This window comes from Homo sapiens, chromosome 2, assembly GCF_000001405.40.
Source record: "Homo sapiens chromosome 2, GRCh38.p14 Primary Assembly".
Lineage (NCBI taxonomy): Eukaryota > Metazoa > Chordata > Mammalia > Primates > Hominidae > Homo > Homo sapiens.
The window spans coordinates 45562219-45579535 of NC_000002.12; the positions used below are offsets into that span (position 1 = coordinate 45562219).

At 34.8% G+C, this 17317-nt stretch overlaps 1 protein-coding gene and 1 pseudogene across 8 annotated transcripts in view; both read right to left on the minus strand.

The window, feature by feature from the left end:
• The window catches only part of SRBD1 (S1 RNA binding domain 1), a 222588-nt gene that overhangs the window by 173539 nt on the left and 31732 nt on the right, over positions 1-17317 (minus strand). For 6 of the 8 annotated variants that reach the window (NM_018079.5, XM_011532946.3, XM_047444860.1 and 3 more), the window contains exons 8-10: positions 12409-12505; positions 10989-11124; positions 435-538 (exon numbers count right to left, since the gene is read on the minus strand). In NM_018079.5, the coding sequence (NP_060549.4) occupies positions 435-538; positions 10989-11124; positions 12409-12505 (337 nt within the window). Of the gene's footprint in view, positions 1-434; positions 539-5717; positions 5798-10988; positions 11125-12408; positions 12506-17317 lie in introns of those variants that run through there. The other 2 variants (XM_047444861.1, XM_047444862.1) reach the window with 2 other exon arrangements.
• On the minus strand, positions 6981-7274 carry RN7SL414P (RNA, 7SL, cytoplasmic 414, pseudogene; annotated as a pseudogene).

Genomic DNA, 17317 nt, shown 5'->3' on the forward strand with positions numbered 1-17317 from the left:
GTTTTTTGTTTGTTTGTTTGTTTTCTTGAGATGGAGTCTTGCTCTGTCGCCCAGGCTGGAGTGCAGTGGTGTGATCTCGGCTCACTGCAACCTCAGCCTCTTGGGTTCAAGCAATTCTCTGCCTCAGCCTCCTAAGTAGCGGGGATTACAGGTGTGCACCACCATGCCCAGCTAATTTTTTGTTTTTGTATTTTCAGTAGAGACAGGGTTTCACCATCTTGGCCAGGCTCATATTGAACTCCTGACCTCGCGATCCACCCCCCTCAGCCTCCGAAAGTGCTGGGATTACAGGCGTGAGCCACCGCGCCCGGCCTGTCACTGGCTTTTTAAAAATGTTCACGTAATAGACATCTTTACATATCAGTACATATAGATATCGGTATCATATTTTAGAAAAGAAACAAAGAAAATTCTGTAAATATCTGTAAACAGACCTGTTTTGGATGCACCACCTACAGAATTCATCCTTCACTCCATCAGAAATATTGACCTTAACCGTCAGTACCTTCAAATTTTCTCCACGGTTAATTGCCAGAATCTGAGTGCAAACATAAGGCAAAGACTAATAATCCACAAAATATATGAAACAAATCAGGCGACTATGTAGCTGACAGCTATATGAATTTTTTACTCGTTTATTAAACAAGAATACATTTTAAAATAATCATTTACTTACACTTTTTTCAAGTAACATACCTCCCACATAAGGAAAACCCTAACATGCTCTTAGAAAATAAAATGCAGATACAAAGCCTATCTAACACATTTACAAGAAGAGACTTTGATGATCTAAAAATCTCATTTCAGATTCTACTAATTGAAAATTTTTGATTATCTGGAGTTGGAAGGGTATACTTTTTATAATTTGAAAAGATAACCTGTGCTAAGATAAATACAAACATGTAAAATCCTAGGTGCAATATTTAGTAGCTACAAATTGTTACCATCCATTGAGCATTACTAATTGTAGAGCCTATCTAAGCACTTTAAATATATTATCTCAAGTAATCCTTAGAGTCACCAGTAATGTGTGTATTATCTTCACTTTATATAATAATTTTTCTGAAACTAACTTGTTGCAAATCACAAAGCTAGCAAGTAGCAAAAAAAGAATTTAAACTTCAGATCAATCTGTCCATGCTCTTAATTAAAATATTAAAAGAACGACTGTCTTAAAACACATTAAAAACACTCCTTAAAGTATAAACAAAACCAAAACAAGCAGAAGAAAATAATAAATAATAGGGTAAAAATAAAATAGAGAATAGAAAAGCAATAAATATCAACAAAACCATAAGTTGGTTCTTTGAAGATATCAACAAAATTAACAGACCTTTCGCTAGACTAATCAAGAAAAACAACAGGAAACACTCAAACACCAAGATCAGGAACAAAAGAGAGGCCACTACTAAGGACCTTATAGAAATAAAAAAGATTATAAGAGATACCATGAGCAACTGTATGACAAATTAGATAACTAAGATAAAATGGACAAATTCCTAAAAGATACAAACTACCAAAAACAAACCAAAAAGAAACAGAAAATCTGAACACACCTATAAAAAGTATGGACACTGAATTAGTAATTTGAAAATTTCCCACAAATAAATGTCCAGGCCCAGATGGCACCACCATTGAATTCTACCAAACATTCTAAAAAGAATCAATATCCATTCTTCACAAACTTTCCAAAAGATATTAGAGAAGGAAAAACTTCACATATATTTCTATGAGGCCAGTATTACTCTGATACAAAAACCAGACAAGACTTCACAAGAAAACTACAAACCAATATCTCTTATGAATATAGATGTAAAAATCCTCAATAAAGTAATAGCAAACCACATCCAGAAATATATAAGAAGGATTATACACCAAGATCAACTAGAATCAATTCCAGGAATGCCCGGTTGATTTAACATCTAAAAAATCAATTAACCTAACACATTATATCAATAGAATAAATAACAAAAATCCTATGATCATCTCAATAGATGTGGAAAAACATCTGACAAAATCAGGTAGCCCTTCATGATAAAAAACACTCAAAAAACTTGGAAATATAAGGAAAGTTCTTTAATATGAGAAAGGGCTTGTGCACAGAAATCTCACAGCTAACATCATATTTACTGGTCAAAGACCAGGAACAAGACAAGCGTGTCCACTCTCACAACATTGTACTGAAGGTTCTAGCCAGGGAAAAGAAGGGAGGCCATCTATATTGGAAAGGAAGATGTAAAACTTTCTCTATTTGCAGCTAACATGATCTTATATATAGAAAATTCTAAGCAATCCACTACAAAACTATTAGAACTAATAAAGAGTTCAGCAAAGTTGCAGAACACAAGCTCAACAAATAAAATTAATTTATACATACTAGCAATAAACATTCTGAAAATAATTTTTTTTAATTCCATTTATGATACCACCAAAAGGAATAAAATACTTAGGAATAAATTTAACAAAAAAAGTTCACAACTTACACGGTTGACCTTTGAACAATACAGGTTTAAACTGCATGTGTTGACTTACACGTGGATTTTTTTCAACCAAACAGGGATTGAAAATACAGTAATTGCAGGATCTGAAACCCACGCATAAGGAGAGCTGATTTTTCATATACATGGGTTCTGCAGGGCCAACTCTGGGACTTGCATATACATAGATTTGGGTATATGCAGGGATCCTGGAATCAATCTCCTGTATATACCAAGGAACAACTGTACTATGAAAACTACAAAACATTGTTGAAAGAAATTAAAGAAGATCTAAATAAATACCCATGAACATCCCATGTTCAGGGATCAGAGGGCCTAATATTGCTAAGATGGCAACACTCCCCAAGTTGATTTACAAATTCAGTGAAATCCCTATCAAATCCCAATTGGCATGTTTTGTGGAAACTGGTGAACTAATTTTAAAACACATATAGTAATTCAAAGGACTGAGAATAGCCAAGTCAATTTTTAAAAATCAAAATAAACTTGGAAGATTCCCACTTCCCAATTTCAAAACTGACTACAAAGCCACAGTTATCAAGACAGTGGGGACTGGCATAAGGATAGACATACAATGGAATAGAATCGGAGTCCAGAAATAAACTTATACATATAGTGTCAACTGATTTTCAACAAGGGTACCAAGATAATTCAATGAAGAAAATCCAATCTTTTCAATAAATCATGAATAACTAGAACTCACCACATGCAAAAGAACAAAAGTGGACGGACCCCTACTTCACGCTATACATAAAAATTAACTCAAAATTGATCTTAGACCTTAATACAAGAACTAAAACTATAAAATTTCCATTAAAAAAGGAGAAAATTTTTATGACCTCAAGTCATAAAGCCTTCTTAGATATAACACCAAAAGTGTAATCAATAACAAAAAACTAGATTGAACTTCAACAAATTTTAGTTTTTGTGCCTCAAAGAATAGTATCAAGAAAGTGAAAAGAAAATGCACGGCATGGGACAAAAATTTTTGCAAATCATATGTCACATAAGGGTATCTAGAATATATTTAAAACTCCTACAGCTCAACAATAAGGAGACAAAACCCAATTTATTCATTTATTTATTTTCTTAAGAGATGGGGTTTCACCATGTTGGCCAGGCTGGTCTCGAACTCCTGACCTCAGGCGATCCGCCTGCCTCAACCTCCCAAAGTGCTTGGATTATAGGCGTGAGCCATCGCGCCTGGCCACAACCCAATTTAAAATGTACAAAAGATCTGAAGAGGTATTTGTTCAAAAATTATATACAAATGACTGATAAGTACATGAATAGATGCTCAGCATCATTAGAGAAATGCAAATCAAAACACAAAAAGATGGACAATAAATGTTGGGAGGGATGTAGAGAAATCGGAACCTTCACAAACCGCTGGTGAGAATGTAAAAATGGCATAGCCACTCTGGAAAATATGGCAGTTCCTCAAAAGGTTAAATGTAAAGCTACCATATAACACAGCAATTATACTCCTAGGTATATATCCAAGAGAAATAAAAACATATGTCCACACAAAAACTTAGACACGAATGTTCATAGCATTATTCATAATATCCAAAAAGTAGAAACAACCAAACTATTCACTGACTGATGAATGGATAAGTAAAATGTGGAGAATCCATATAATGTAATATTACGTAGCAATAAAAAGGAAAGGCATACTAATACATACCATAACAGACAAACTCTGAAACCATTATGCTAAGTGAAAGAAACCAGCGGCAAAAGTCTGCATATTGTATGATTCCTTTATATGAAATGACCAGAACAGACAAATCTATAGAGATAGAAAGTTGGCTGCCTAGAGCTTGATGCAAGGAAATATTTGGGAGAAAAATGTCCTAAAATTGCTTGTGGTAATGGTGACACAACTGAGTGAATTTACGAAAAACCATTGAACTTACAAAGTTCTAATGGTTGCATTAAATGCAATATGAATTTTACTTCAATAAACCTATTAGAAAATTAAAACACTCTTTTCTTAAAGCACTCTTTAATACCAATTATTAAGATGATAAATAGTAACACAAATTAACCAAATAATTTAATCAAGTTAACAGCCTCCCTTAAATATCTGCTAGTCTGTAACTATATATTTATGTATATTATATATTAAAAATTAAACAACATCACTTCAACATATATTCAGATTTCTCACTAATTCTTAATGGCTTTCTTCCAATTACTCTTAATGAATGGGATTTTAATAAACTAAGTTCTCCCTTTACAGGACACAAACTGATATTTTAACAATTTTAGCACATTTCCATGAGGATCTCTAACAAAAACTTAGACTTCCTATCTGTGGTGAAACAAGCTTAGAATAATTCAACTTAATATTACCACAAAATAATTCTACCACGAAAATTTCTCAATTTGTGCTTCATGTTGAAAAGAATGTCAAAAGATAAAACGCGTATTTTTTTGTAACTTTAATTTAAATTTTAAAAATATTGAGTAAAATTTTAAATATCAAACAAATTGTCAGAGTTTTAAAAAAATTATATAGGGGACTTTTTTCTTTTCTTATATACTTGAGAAATTTCTAAAGTAAACATCAGCAGAAATAGAACAATCACTTAGAAATAAATGTTTCGGCTGGGTATGGGGGCTCATGCTCATAATCCCAGCACTTTGAGAGGCCAAAGCAGGAGGACTGGTTGAGCTCAGGAGTTCAAGATGAGCCTGGGCAACATGGCGAAACCCCAACTCTCAAAAAATACAAAAATCAGCCAGGTGTGCTTGTGCATGCCCATAGTCCCAGCTCCTCAGGAGGCTGAAGTGGGAGAATGCCTTCAGCCCGCAAGGCGAAACTTGCAGTGAGGTGGGATTCTGCCACTGCACTCCAGCCTGGGTGAAAGAGCAAGATACTGTCTAAGAAAAAAAAAAAAAAGTAAGCTTACATAAAACAATATATTCAATAATACTGCACAGAACTATCTATAAAGAAATAAATTGTGAATACAAAATAAACTTCAGTTTGAGCTCAGCAGAGACTTCCGTATTTGCTATAGGCTGTGCCAGCTTAGTAAACAGAAGTTCTTCATACAAGAAATTTTCTCTAATAAATTAAGTAGAGTACAACAATATAGAGGAGAGTTATTTAATTCCGATTTACATAAGTATACCATAATATCACAATACATTATTGGAGGTTTTTTGCTCTTTTTCACCATACCTAGTAATGTAATACGTCAAACTTACAAAAAATCCTGACACACAGGAAGACCCATGGTGGAGAAGGGAATAAGGTAACAGAAATAATAAAGCTTGGGACAGAAACTGAAATTGAAAGTGAGTAGTGGGTTAAAGCGGAATTACTGCAGATGGTGACATTGAACAGGAAATAGGTAGTTAAGACACAGGAAATTGCACGTCAGTAAAAAGACACACCAATAAAGATAAGGAACAGAAAGTCCCATGAGAGAATGTGAAGACTGAGTTACAAATTCATGTGGTAGAAAAGATCACACTAAGGACCAATTTGAAAAAGAAAGAAAAAAAGATGCAGCTGGAAGAATTTACTAAGCAGCTATTAACGGCTATTCCCACAGTACTTGGAGAGAGTTCCACAGTAATTTTCCTTCACCACACTGTCTTTCATCATTTGCATTCATTTCTGTGTTCTGTGATACTGTGCTGGGGTTATCTACATAAAGGCTGAAAAGTAAGGTTCAGATTTAGGACATGAGGTCTCAGCACTATAGGAATTGGGAAGCTGTTTTTGTAACCTAGCATATCATCACTCCGGCCTGTACATGATAAACTAAAAAGTTCGTAAAACAGCAGTGCTGTTTTTCAAAACTGACATTTCCAAAATGCTCTGCTTTCCCAGGCCTGAATACTGTCACACCCAGAAGCCTGTGTCAATCATAATCTTAAATTCAGTCACTAACTCAGAATGCCACATTTGCTACACACACTAGTTAAAATGCAGAGCCCAATAAAATATTTTCAAGCAGAAATTAGAAGGCTAGGTTTTAACAGAATAAAAGCATTAATGTTTTTCCAAAGTTGCAATAAAATTAAATCAACATAAAAGGTGGACAAAATAAGACAGAAAAACTACTTCTGCAAAAGGAATGTTAGTATACTTAGTCACTGGTACTATTAAAAATTACTTTTCATTATGTTATACCTGTATCAGTAGACTATAATAACTACGTATGTAAAATTTCACTGTACTTTCTTTCAAAATATTGAAAGTATGTACTTCACCTGATGTGGTAAATATAGTGTACACAAAAGTAAAATTGACAATTTTAGATATAATAGTGAAACATTTCAAATCTTTAAATGGGCAAGGGCCATGTTACCTCTACACCCTAAACAGGACCCAACATAAAATAACCTTTCAGGAAATACTTGTGGGATAATTCACACTCTTCATGTCTTGTTACAACAAAACAAAAATTTTTCACATCTGTGTCATCTTAAATGAAAAACAATTACTTTTTTATTTTTTTAAGAGGCAGGGTCCCACTGTTGACCAGGCTGGAATGCAGTGGCTATTCACAGGAGCAATCCCACTACTAATCAGCACAGTTTTGACCTGCTCCTTTTCTGACCTGGGCCAGTTCACCCCTCCTTAGGCAACCTGCTGGTCTCCCGTTCCTGTGGGGTCACCATATTGATACTAAACTCAATGTGAACACCCAATCGGCATAGCGCACTTCAGCCCAGAAATCCTAGACTCAAGCAATCCTCCTGCCTCAGGGTCCTGAGTAGCTGGGACTACAGGCATGTGCCACCATGCAAAACAATTACATTCTTAATGATGAAAATTAAGTATTACATGAAAGGTTAGGAATACTAGTTTTTTTTCTATTATTCTCTCTTTATAGCAGTAAAATGCAGATAGGAAGAAAAATAAATTTTAAAATTATTTATTGAGAAATTCCGCGTTTGAAAAACACTGGCAGTTTCCTAATTTCAAATCTCCCCCTTCCTTTCTCAAAAAACTATAAAACCAATAAAGAAAATAAATAAAACACAACATAGGACCCACCTCTTTGCATTTCTAGGAGACAGAGAATTATACTGGCATCAGATTTCTCAAATATAACATACAAAGGAAGCCAACAGCAGAGCAACATATTCAAGAAACTTAAGTAAAGAAAATGCAAACAAAAGTGATTATACCATGCCAAGCTATCCTTCAAGTGTTAAGGCCATAGAAAACAATTTTGAATGTGTAAGAACTCAGAGAATATTGTACACATATACCTTTCTTCAGACATTCACTAGAGCAGAAGTTAGCAAACTATGGCCCATGGGTCAAATCCAGCCTGCCACCTGTTTTTGTGAATAAAATTTTGTTGAAACACAACCATGCTCATTCATTATGCATTGTCTATGACTGATTTTGTGTTACACAGCAGTTGCGTAGTTGCAACAAAAGCCATCTGGCTCACAAAACCTTAAATATTTGTTCACTGGACCTTTACAGAAAAAGTTTACCAACTGTATACTAGACTACAGAATAAGTTTCATTCACTCTAAAGGCTTTGGAAAGCTCTGGCAAAAGGACCAAGGGCAAGCATTTAATATAATTGTAGGGCTGAGATTAAAACAAGAGTAGGGAGAGTGGGGTCAATTTCCTTTAAGAAAGCACAGGTTGCAAGGCAATCCTAATACCAAAGCAGACTTCAGGATAAAAAGCATTAAACAAGGTAATAAAGAAAACTTTATATAACGTTAAAAGCCACACTCCAGCTCTGGAATAGAATGAGGAGTGTGCGATACTGTATTTTAAAGACGTTGTTAGGAGTGACATCACTGAAAATTGTGGAGTAGGGAACTCTAAATTCCATCCCTCCACAAAGGTAACTGGTAAGGTAGCAAAAACTGTCAGAATTAACTTTTTCGCAACTATGGAATCTAATAAAAATTTTATAACAACGAAAGAAACACAGAAAGAAGTTGCAGAATTTCTATAAGAGAGCACTTTTAACGTACCCCAGTCTCCAGCTCAGCAGTGGCCTCTGAAGATGACAGCCCACGTTCCTAGGGCAGGTTGCAGAAGGAGCAATATGGACCTTATTCTCAAATAACTATGGTTGTGTGTTTTGATGTCTGGTGTGTCCCTGAGGAACTGACTCAAGGGCTTGTCTTTATTTCACATGCCTTGGAACTTACTCAGGACAGAAGAAGCCTCCCAGGTGGCCTTTGTCAAAAGTACTTAAAGGCAAATATATTAGCCCCAGCCATGAGGGGTAAGGGATAATACAGGAGCAACTAACACAGAGAACAAAAAACCTGTGAAAAAATAAACTTGGAAATGAGATATTTGAGGGAAAAGGGGCTTTTTAAAATTCCTGGGCATGCTGAGGGCTAGGTGTATGCTCTGAAAAGATCTGAGGGAACCTTAAGCTTTCACCTCTAGATGAACTTTGGGCTCCATGCAAACAGGAAGAAAAGGCTACGGCAGAGCTGTTAATGGCCTCACTAAGTGTTGAAGGAGTGCCCCAACAAAGTGCCAATCTGCAAAGTCTGGGAGAGTTTGGGTTTTTTTCTTTTAGGGGATTTTTTTCTTTTAGGGTTTATTTTGTTTTTGTTTTTGGCTCCAGGCATTTAGGGGAATCTCTGTTAAATAACTAGATGGTTACTAAGCTAACAAGGGAGACCTCAGTGGCCACACATAGCAAACAAAATTTACAAAAATACTTAGAAAAGTCACTAGAGCAAACCAACCCCAAAACAAGCAGCAACAACAAACAGGGGAGGGGAGAGAATCTGATTTCCAGAGTTACCAAGTTATAAAATACAACATATCCAGACTTTACCAAAAAAAAAAAAAAAAAAAAAAAAACTGTCCATGAGGAAGCTTAGACATTGACCTTACAAAACAAAGATTTTAAATTAACTCTATTCAATATGCTGAATTCAAGAAAATCATGAACAGAGACCTAAAGAAAGCCAGGAGAATGATCTTTCAACCATATAGAAAAGTAAGAGTTAGAAATTATAAAAAAGAACAAAATAGAAATTACGGAGCTGAAAAGTACAATGACTGAAATAAAAATGTGCCAGGGGTTCAACAGCAAATTTGAATACAAAGAATAAATCAACAAGCCTGAAGATAGGTCAAATGGGAATATACAGTCAGAGAAAAAAGAAAAAAATAAAGAAAAGAAAGCAACAGAGGCTGAGACCTGTGAGACACTATCAATCATACTCTCTACATATAATGGGAGACCCAGGAGAGGAGAGAAAGGCGCAGAAAGGATATTTTTTAAAATTATTATGAAGAATTTCTTAAGTTTGATGAAAAACATTAATCTACACGTCTAAGAATCACAATAAACTCCAAGTAGGATAAACTCAGAAAGACCCATGACAAGACACATTATAATCAAACTGTCAAAAGATAAAGACAGAGAATCCTGAATGCAGCAAGAGAGAAGAGACTTGTCATGAATAAGGCATCGTAAGATTAACAGCTGATTCCTCATAAAAAACTATGGAGGCCATACCATAAGAGTGGATGGTATATTTAGTATTAAAAGGGAAAAATTAAAAACCATCAACCAAGAATTCTATATTTTAAAAACTCTCTATAAAAAAATGAATGAAATGTTTAATGGGCATAGAGTTTCAGTTTTGCATGATAAAAAAATTGCTGGAGATTGGTGGCACAACAATATGACTATGCTTCCCATTACTGAACTGTATGCTTAAAAATGGTTATGATGGTACATTTTATGTTATGTTCATCTTACCACAATTAAACATAAATTTTTTAAAAAAGGAGAAATTAAGATTTTCCAGAAAAACAAAAACTAGGAAGTTTGTCACTAGTAGACCTGCCTTACATGAAATATTACAGGAAGTGCTTCAGACTGGAATGAAAGGGCACTAGATAGTAACTTGAAGCCATACAAAGAAATAAAGAACACTGATAAATGTCATGATATATGTAAATATAAACGCCAGTGTTACTGTATTTTTGGTTTTTATCTCCTTTTTGCCCTATGTAATTTAAAAGCCACATTCCACAATGTAGATATAGCCTACGACTACACTTAGGAAAAAAAATTAGTAAACTGAAAAATGAAATTAAAACACTGAGATACAATGACTGATTTATATAAGTAAATGAGACCTCTCACACTTTATTCTAAATCAGATATCTCATATTTGTATTTCACAGGGAAGAGATCCAGAATTGAGCTCAAATATAAGGATACTGGGAAGCAGAGTCTAACAAAAAGATCACCAGCCAAAAAGTCAAGATACCTAAAATGTTATATTGTCAGCTCTGCTAATAATTCTCAATGTCACTTGTTAACTTCTCCGGGTCATTACTTCCCAATTTGTGAAGCGGCAAGGATATGACAATATTATAAGAATTTATATAAAGAAAAAAGAAAACAGTTGACATAAAATTATTTAAATTCTTAGTAAAGTAGCAGGCAAATCCAAAATATTATCATTATTACGAAATCAGCATGCACATGCAGTTTCTTTATTTACCTGATGATGGTGAATGTTTCTTATGTTGCAGGAAAAATGCTGGTAGAGCAGAAACTTATCAACATCTTTCTCATTTACCTTTTTTGAGGATACTTTTGCCAGAGATGACTGGATACAAACATGTCTCTTCTGGCACCTGTTCAGATACACAAGTGTTCAAAAAACAAGCAGTTATTAATTTGTGCTTTAGTAAAGAATATATAGAAATAAGGATAGCAAAAAAAGTTAAGCCATTACCAAGTGAGTTTTTTTAATGATGCCCAGCTATGAAATTGATATTACTACCCCATCAAAAGGACTCTTTGCCTATTCATACTAGCATAGTCCTCCAGATCTATTTATATATCTACTCAATCTTCCCATAAAATGCCTAAATGAATTCAGAAACCATCTGCAATTATGCAAAAGATCAAAACTATCTATAGAAATCAAACCAATAGCTCTGATCTAAATATCAGACTTTTCTAATCACTAAGACAGTCACAGTCAATTAAAAACTTAAAAAAAGAGAAACAAAAGGATGTGTCAGGACAGCTTCCAATAACAATTTATAATACTGAACCAAATTTAAGTGGCATAATTACTTATAAAAACACATTTTAAAACCTGAGCAATTATTTTGCTTCAACTCATTCCTGCTGGAGCCACTGAGAAAATACAAAAGTTCTTTCTAGCAACAGTAGTCAACTAGGTCATCTCCTCCTTTCCTCTCCTCTGCACAGCTCAAACAGCTAGATATGTGGAGGGAGAGAGAGGAAGAACAAACCTCTAGCAGAAACCTGTCTTCTGATACACAGCAGAAAAAGAACAAAATAATACAAAAATAGGGTTTTTAATTAATGTGTTTTTTTAATGATGCATAAAATCCATAAGCCCAAGAAGGCTCTAGGTCAAAGATCTTTAATGTCTGATAAATTGGGACTGTGATGCCATAGATAAGCTGCTCTCCTCAACAGCTAAAAATCATTTGGAGGTCAGTACTTTTATTCATATCTGATATTACACATTCTCAAGTAAAGCCAATCACTGGTAAACACCAGAAACGAGATACTATAAAATAAGCATACATCACAATCAACATGTTTAAAAAGCAATGCCACTCTAAAGGACATGAATCTCTCTTCGTATATATTGTGTAAGGCAATGGTTTTTAAACTCATCAGGCCCCTCCACTGAGATGCCTCAGTGTAAGGAGGGTGAGTAGGCAGAGTTCCAGGCTCCCTGTCCAGAATTCAATTAAAACAACTTTACTTTTATCTGTTTTATATATTTGGGCTCTGTTGTTTGAACAAAGAGTTTTGCTACTTTAAAAAAAAGTCTGAAAACAAAGTTTTTAATGAACATTGGTATTAGCACTAACCGTGTGACCCTTAACAGCATGAGTCCATAAAGCAGAAAACTCCATAAAAGAGATACTCACAAGTTCCGAATGAAGTCAAGCGTGTCTTTGTCTTTAGCAATCATATCTGCTAAAATATGCTGCACTCCTATTTCAATATCCTGAAGCGTTGAAAGCCCTTTAGGAGAAGGGTAAAAAGGAAAACAAAAACAAAAAGTATACGATTGGTTTTAAATTCTATAACTAAATCACAGTAAATTAATTCCAGTCAAAATAAAACCTTAAGTTGACAGTCTTAAGACAGAAAGATATTGCAGCAGTATACTAGCTTCCCTTTGTAACAAAAACAAGTCTCCAAAAGCAATAATACAGACATAATACATAATATACTGCCCAGTGGTAAAAATGCATCTCTGGAGCCAGCTGCCTTGTCGAATCCTGGTTCTACCATTTGCCAGTTGTGAGACACTGGGCAACCTACTTGACTCCTCTGTACCTCAGTTTCCTATAAAAATGGAATCATAACAGTACCTCCTTTATGAAGTGATTACAAATACTAAAGATGTTATGGGAAATATATATTAATAGAGTCAAAACCCAAGGGACACTACTCCATTTGTTTAAAAAATTATCCTTTAGAAGCAATTTCTATTTTGGATTATGGGGCATTTTTTCACATTTTCAACGACCCATTTGAATTTCACAAATCTCAAAAGCACAAAACAAGAGTTTTCATGCAGTTGTTCCTCTTCACAGTTAAATTGTCTACAGATGAGCATTAAGTTCTCTTTAAGCATTTCTAATTTGCTAATTTATAGCAATGAATCTTGTAAATCAAGGTCTTTCTGATATCAACTTACACTGAGAGAGATCATTTGCACTGCTTTGTTTCATTTCTTTTGTCTTTATCATTCTATTTGCATGAAACGTTTTTTGCACTAAACCTGAATTACACAAGCACTGCATATCATATGTATATTTTCCTGTAAGTAAAGTTTTAATAAGTAATAAGGTACAAAAGCCAAAGAGGACAGGAAGATATTTGTTATGGCATAATTAATAAATAGAAAATATCTAGTTTGGTTGTGTTAGGATAGCTATGTTACCTACTGAAGTAATTATGTTTACAGTTGACCTTTAAACAACATGGGTACAGGTCCACTTCTTTTTCTTTTTCTGAGATGGAGTCTCACTGTCTTCCAGGTTGGAGTGCAGTGGTGCGATCTTGGCTCACTGCAACCTCTGCCTCCTGGGTTCAAGTGATTCTCCTGCCTCAGCCTCCCAAGTAACAGGGATTACAGGCACACACCACCACACCCAGCTAATTTTTGTATTTTTAGTAGTGACGGGCTTTCACTGTGTTGGCCAGCCTGGTCTCGAACTCGTGACCTCAAGTGATCTGCCCCCCTCAGCCTCCCAAAGTGTTGGGATTACAGGCGTGAGCCACTGCACCAGTCTGCACTTCTACATGGATTAATTACAATAAAAGTTGGAACAAGGGTGCCTGCCTCTCGTCACCCCTTCCACCTCCTCCACCACTTCTGCTTTTGCTATTCCTGAGACAGAAACAACTCCTCCTCCTCCTCCTCCTCCTTTTTCTCGTCAGCCTATTCAATGTGATGATGAGGATGAAGACCTTTATGATAATCCACTTCCATTTAATAAACAGTAAATATATTTTTTCCTTACAAATTTCTTAATAACATTTTCTTTTTTCTAGCTTACCTTATTGTAAGAATACAGTATATAACACATATAACACACAAAATGTGTGTTAATCAGCTTTATGTCATCAGTAAGGCTTCAGGTCAACAGTAGGCTATTAACAATTAAGTTTTTATAAAGTCAAAAGTTATACCTAAATTTTCAACTTTGAAGAGGGAGTCGGGGGGGGTGGGGGTTGTTCCCCTAATCTCTGTATTATGCAACGGTCAATTACATTTTAAAGAAATTTAAAGAAAGAAATGTGGCTAATGAAACTAATAGTAATTCTATTTACATTTTAAGAAAACTTTCCTATGAGGGAATTTTCAGTAACAAATTACCTTTACAAGATGGGAGACTGTATATCTAATGGACTTAAAACAGCTATAACACATAGAGCACTCAATAAACATTTGCTCTTCTGTTAGCTCTCTCAGTCTTCATCTAGGAAAACCATTCACAAGAACTAATTCCTGGAGTTCCAAGTATCCCAGAGCATCATCACATGAAGTTTAATGACAACAACAGGGTGATAACTCAATAGTAAAGATGGAACCTACAGGGAGAACCATTAATGGAAGCAGAGGACAGAAGAAATTATAGACTTTGCAATAAGAAAGGGCCTTTGAAAATCCCCCATCATAAGAGGGGAATATAATTTGAAACTTTATGTAATTAATGAATCTAATTAAAATTGTGCTAGAGCGCTAGAGAAATGTTGTAAAGTGTAGTCCAAGGACCCAAAAATAAAATCATACCAGGTACTTGTTAAAACTATGAATGGCTAGACTGTGGAAATGAAGTACTTCACGGAGTGTCCCAGATAACTCTGATACTCATTCAACTTTAAAAAACTGCCACTAGGGAAATGCCTTGAGCTACTTCTAGAGCAGTGGTTCTCAATGGGAGATAGAAATTATCAGAATCATTTGGGACACTCTTTCAAATTACATTCCCCTTCTCAGTCCAACCAGGGAGAAAAATAATTTAAAAGGAAAGTCTTCTGTGTTTTGAAAAAGCTCCTTTCCCAATCAAAGGGAATAGATCTTGTGGGTTTAATACAGCCAAGATAACAGATGTTCCAAAAGTTTAGCACCTCAGTTAAATCAGGAGGAAATATGGTACACAGAACCAGAAAATCATATCCTTTGCCTTACAATGAAATCTTCCCAGCTACAGAATCTTCAAACCTCCACACCTGTAAACAAAAACCGAAAGGCCAACATTTCTTTTCACTTTCTCCGCACTTAAGCTACCTCTTCTTATGTATGACAGAACTTCCTCTTGGACACGAAAGTAGTATTTTGGATCTCCCAGGACATAGTCCATTTGTGGCACAGTATAGCTTTATGATTCAGACCAAATGCTTACTGGTCTGTGGCAAGCAAGCAAGAAGTGTCTTCTACTGGGGAAAAAAAAAACTGAACTATCTGGTTTCTTAAATATTTCTTTCAGGAATGATAGGAATTATGAAACTTCTTTCGAAAAACAAGTAAAATTAAGGATGATCATGATTGTGTGTAACATAAAGGAGGAGGAGACAAAGAGAAAGAGAAAACATTCCTATCAAACTTAAAAAAAAAAGCAGTACCTAGCTTATATAGACTTACTAATAATAATTCTACATTTTTGATCAGGGTAAAAGAAAGAGGGAGTAAAGCAAACAAAAGTCCTCACACGTCTGCTAGTACAGTACTACTGTAACTGTGCTAGACCCTGAACTATCCACATTATAAGAAGTATCACCAAGTGTCCATTGTCATATATTCCAGCAGCATCACCATGTAGGACAATCCAAAGAGATATGGTTATCAAAAACCTACCCAGTAGGAACTCAGTGTATGAGAGAACTCAAGAGACCTTGGTACCAAAGGTAGTGAGAAGTAGAAGGAAAGAAAATCAACCACAAGGAGAAAAATAAAAATAAAAGCAGTCGATAAGCCTTTGTGCATCTAACATTCTGAAAGTTTCAACATTCCATTTTAATAAAACATATGATGACTGGGCACAGACAGTTTCCCACTGTGGTTAACCTTAATGCTTAGCTATAGTCTTAGCTATTATTAAAATATTAAGTGTTGCAACCATTTGGAAATCTAACTATAAATACACATTAAAAATTAAACAAACTTGAATTTTACTCATTTCAACCCATCTCTAAATTCACATAATCCTTTTTTACTTTTTCATTATTGCCCTTCTCCAAACATTAAGATTAAGTGTGTTTGGGTATGAACAGATATTTGGATTTTACAGACACACCCACTCAGTTTTTTAAATCACAAATTCACATTTGCTGGGTTATGTAAAATAAAAACAGGCTATAGTATGCTATAATTTTCTACAGATTAGTACATACTGTGGATTTTGTTATCAGAGACTGCCCCCTACAGACATTTACATGTCCCAGCCTATGGGATCCACAGAAGGACAAAAGAAACTGGAGGTGGGGGCGGGGTGGAAAGACGTAGGTCAAAGGGTACAAAGTTGTAGCTACATAGGCTGAAAAAGACTAGAGTTCTAACATACAACACGGGGGCTACAGTTAATAATATCGTAATGTATACTGTGAATTTGCTAAGACAGATTTTAGGTGCTCTTAACACAAAAGAAGGTAACTATGTGAGATGATGAATATGTTAATTTGCTTGATTATCATGTATAGAATAGTTTGACTATAATACTCACTTCACTATGTATTAATATATGTATATCAAAACATCATGTTGCACATGTTAACTATATAATTTTTTAATATTAAAAAAATAATTTTTTGAGAGTAGAGACCACCAAAACATCAATTTCCCCACTCAATCCTAACAGCGAATTCCTGAGAAAAAGCCACTCTTAACCAAAGTTGTCACTCTAAGACTCATTTTTACAATAAAACCAATGCATCTTGACATTTATCAACTGTCATTTCCCTTGAGTTTTTCTTAGAAATATGTCTCCCTTACTTCTTCCCTCTCTTATTCTCTGTTGTGCATGCACACACACAAAACAGGAAGATACACTTGGAGGGAAATTTCAGAAAAATACACTTTACTTCTACAGTAGAAGTGTGAGAGTGGAGCTTCACTTTACACTTCCTGGATGTCAAAACTCTTGACATTTTTAAAGAGTATTTATGACTTTTGCAAGTAAACAAATTTTCAGAAATAAAAGCTGTAACAGACAATATAGGAGAATCTTTATAAACTTGGGATATGAAGGAATTTCTTTAAAAAGAAAATACAGCTATTATCTTAAAAGATGATTAACTATAATAAAACTCAACTAATACCTA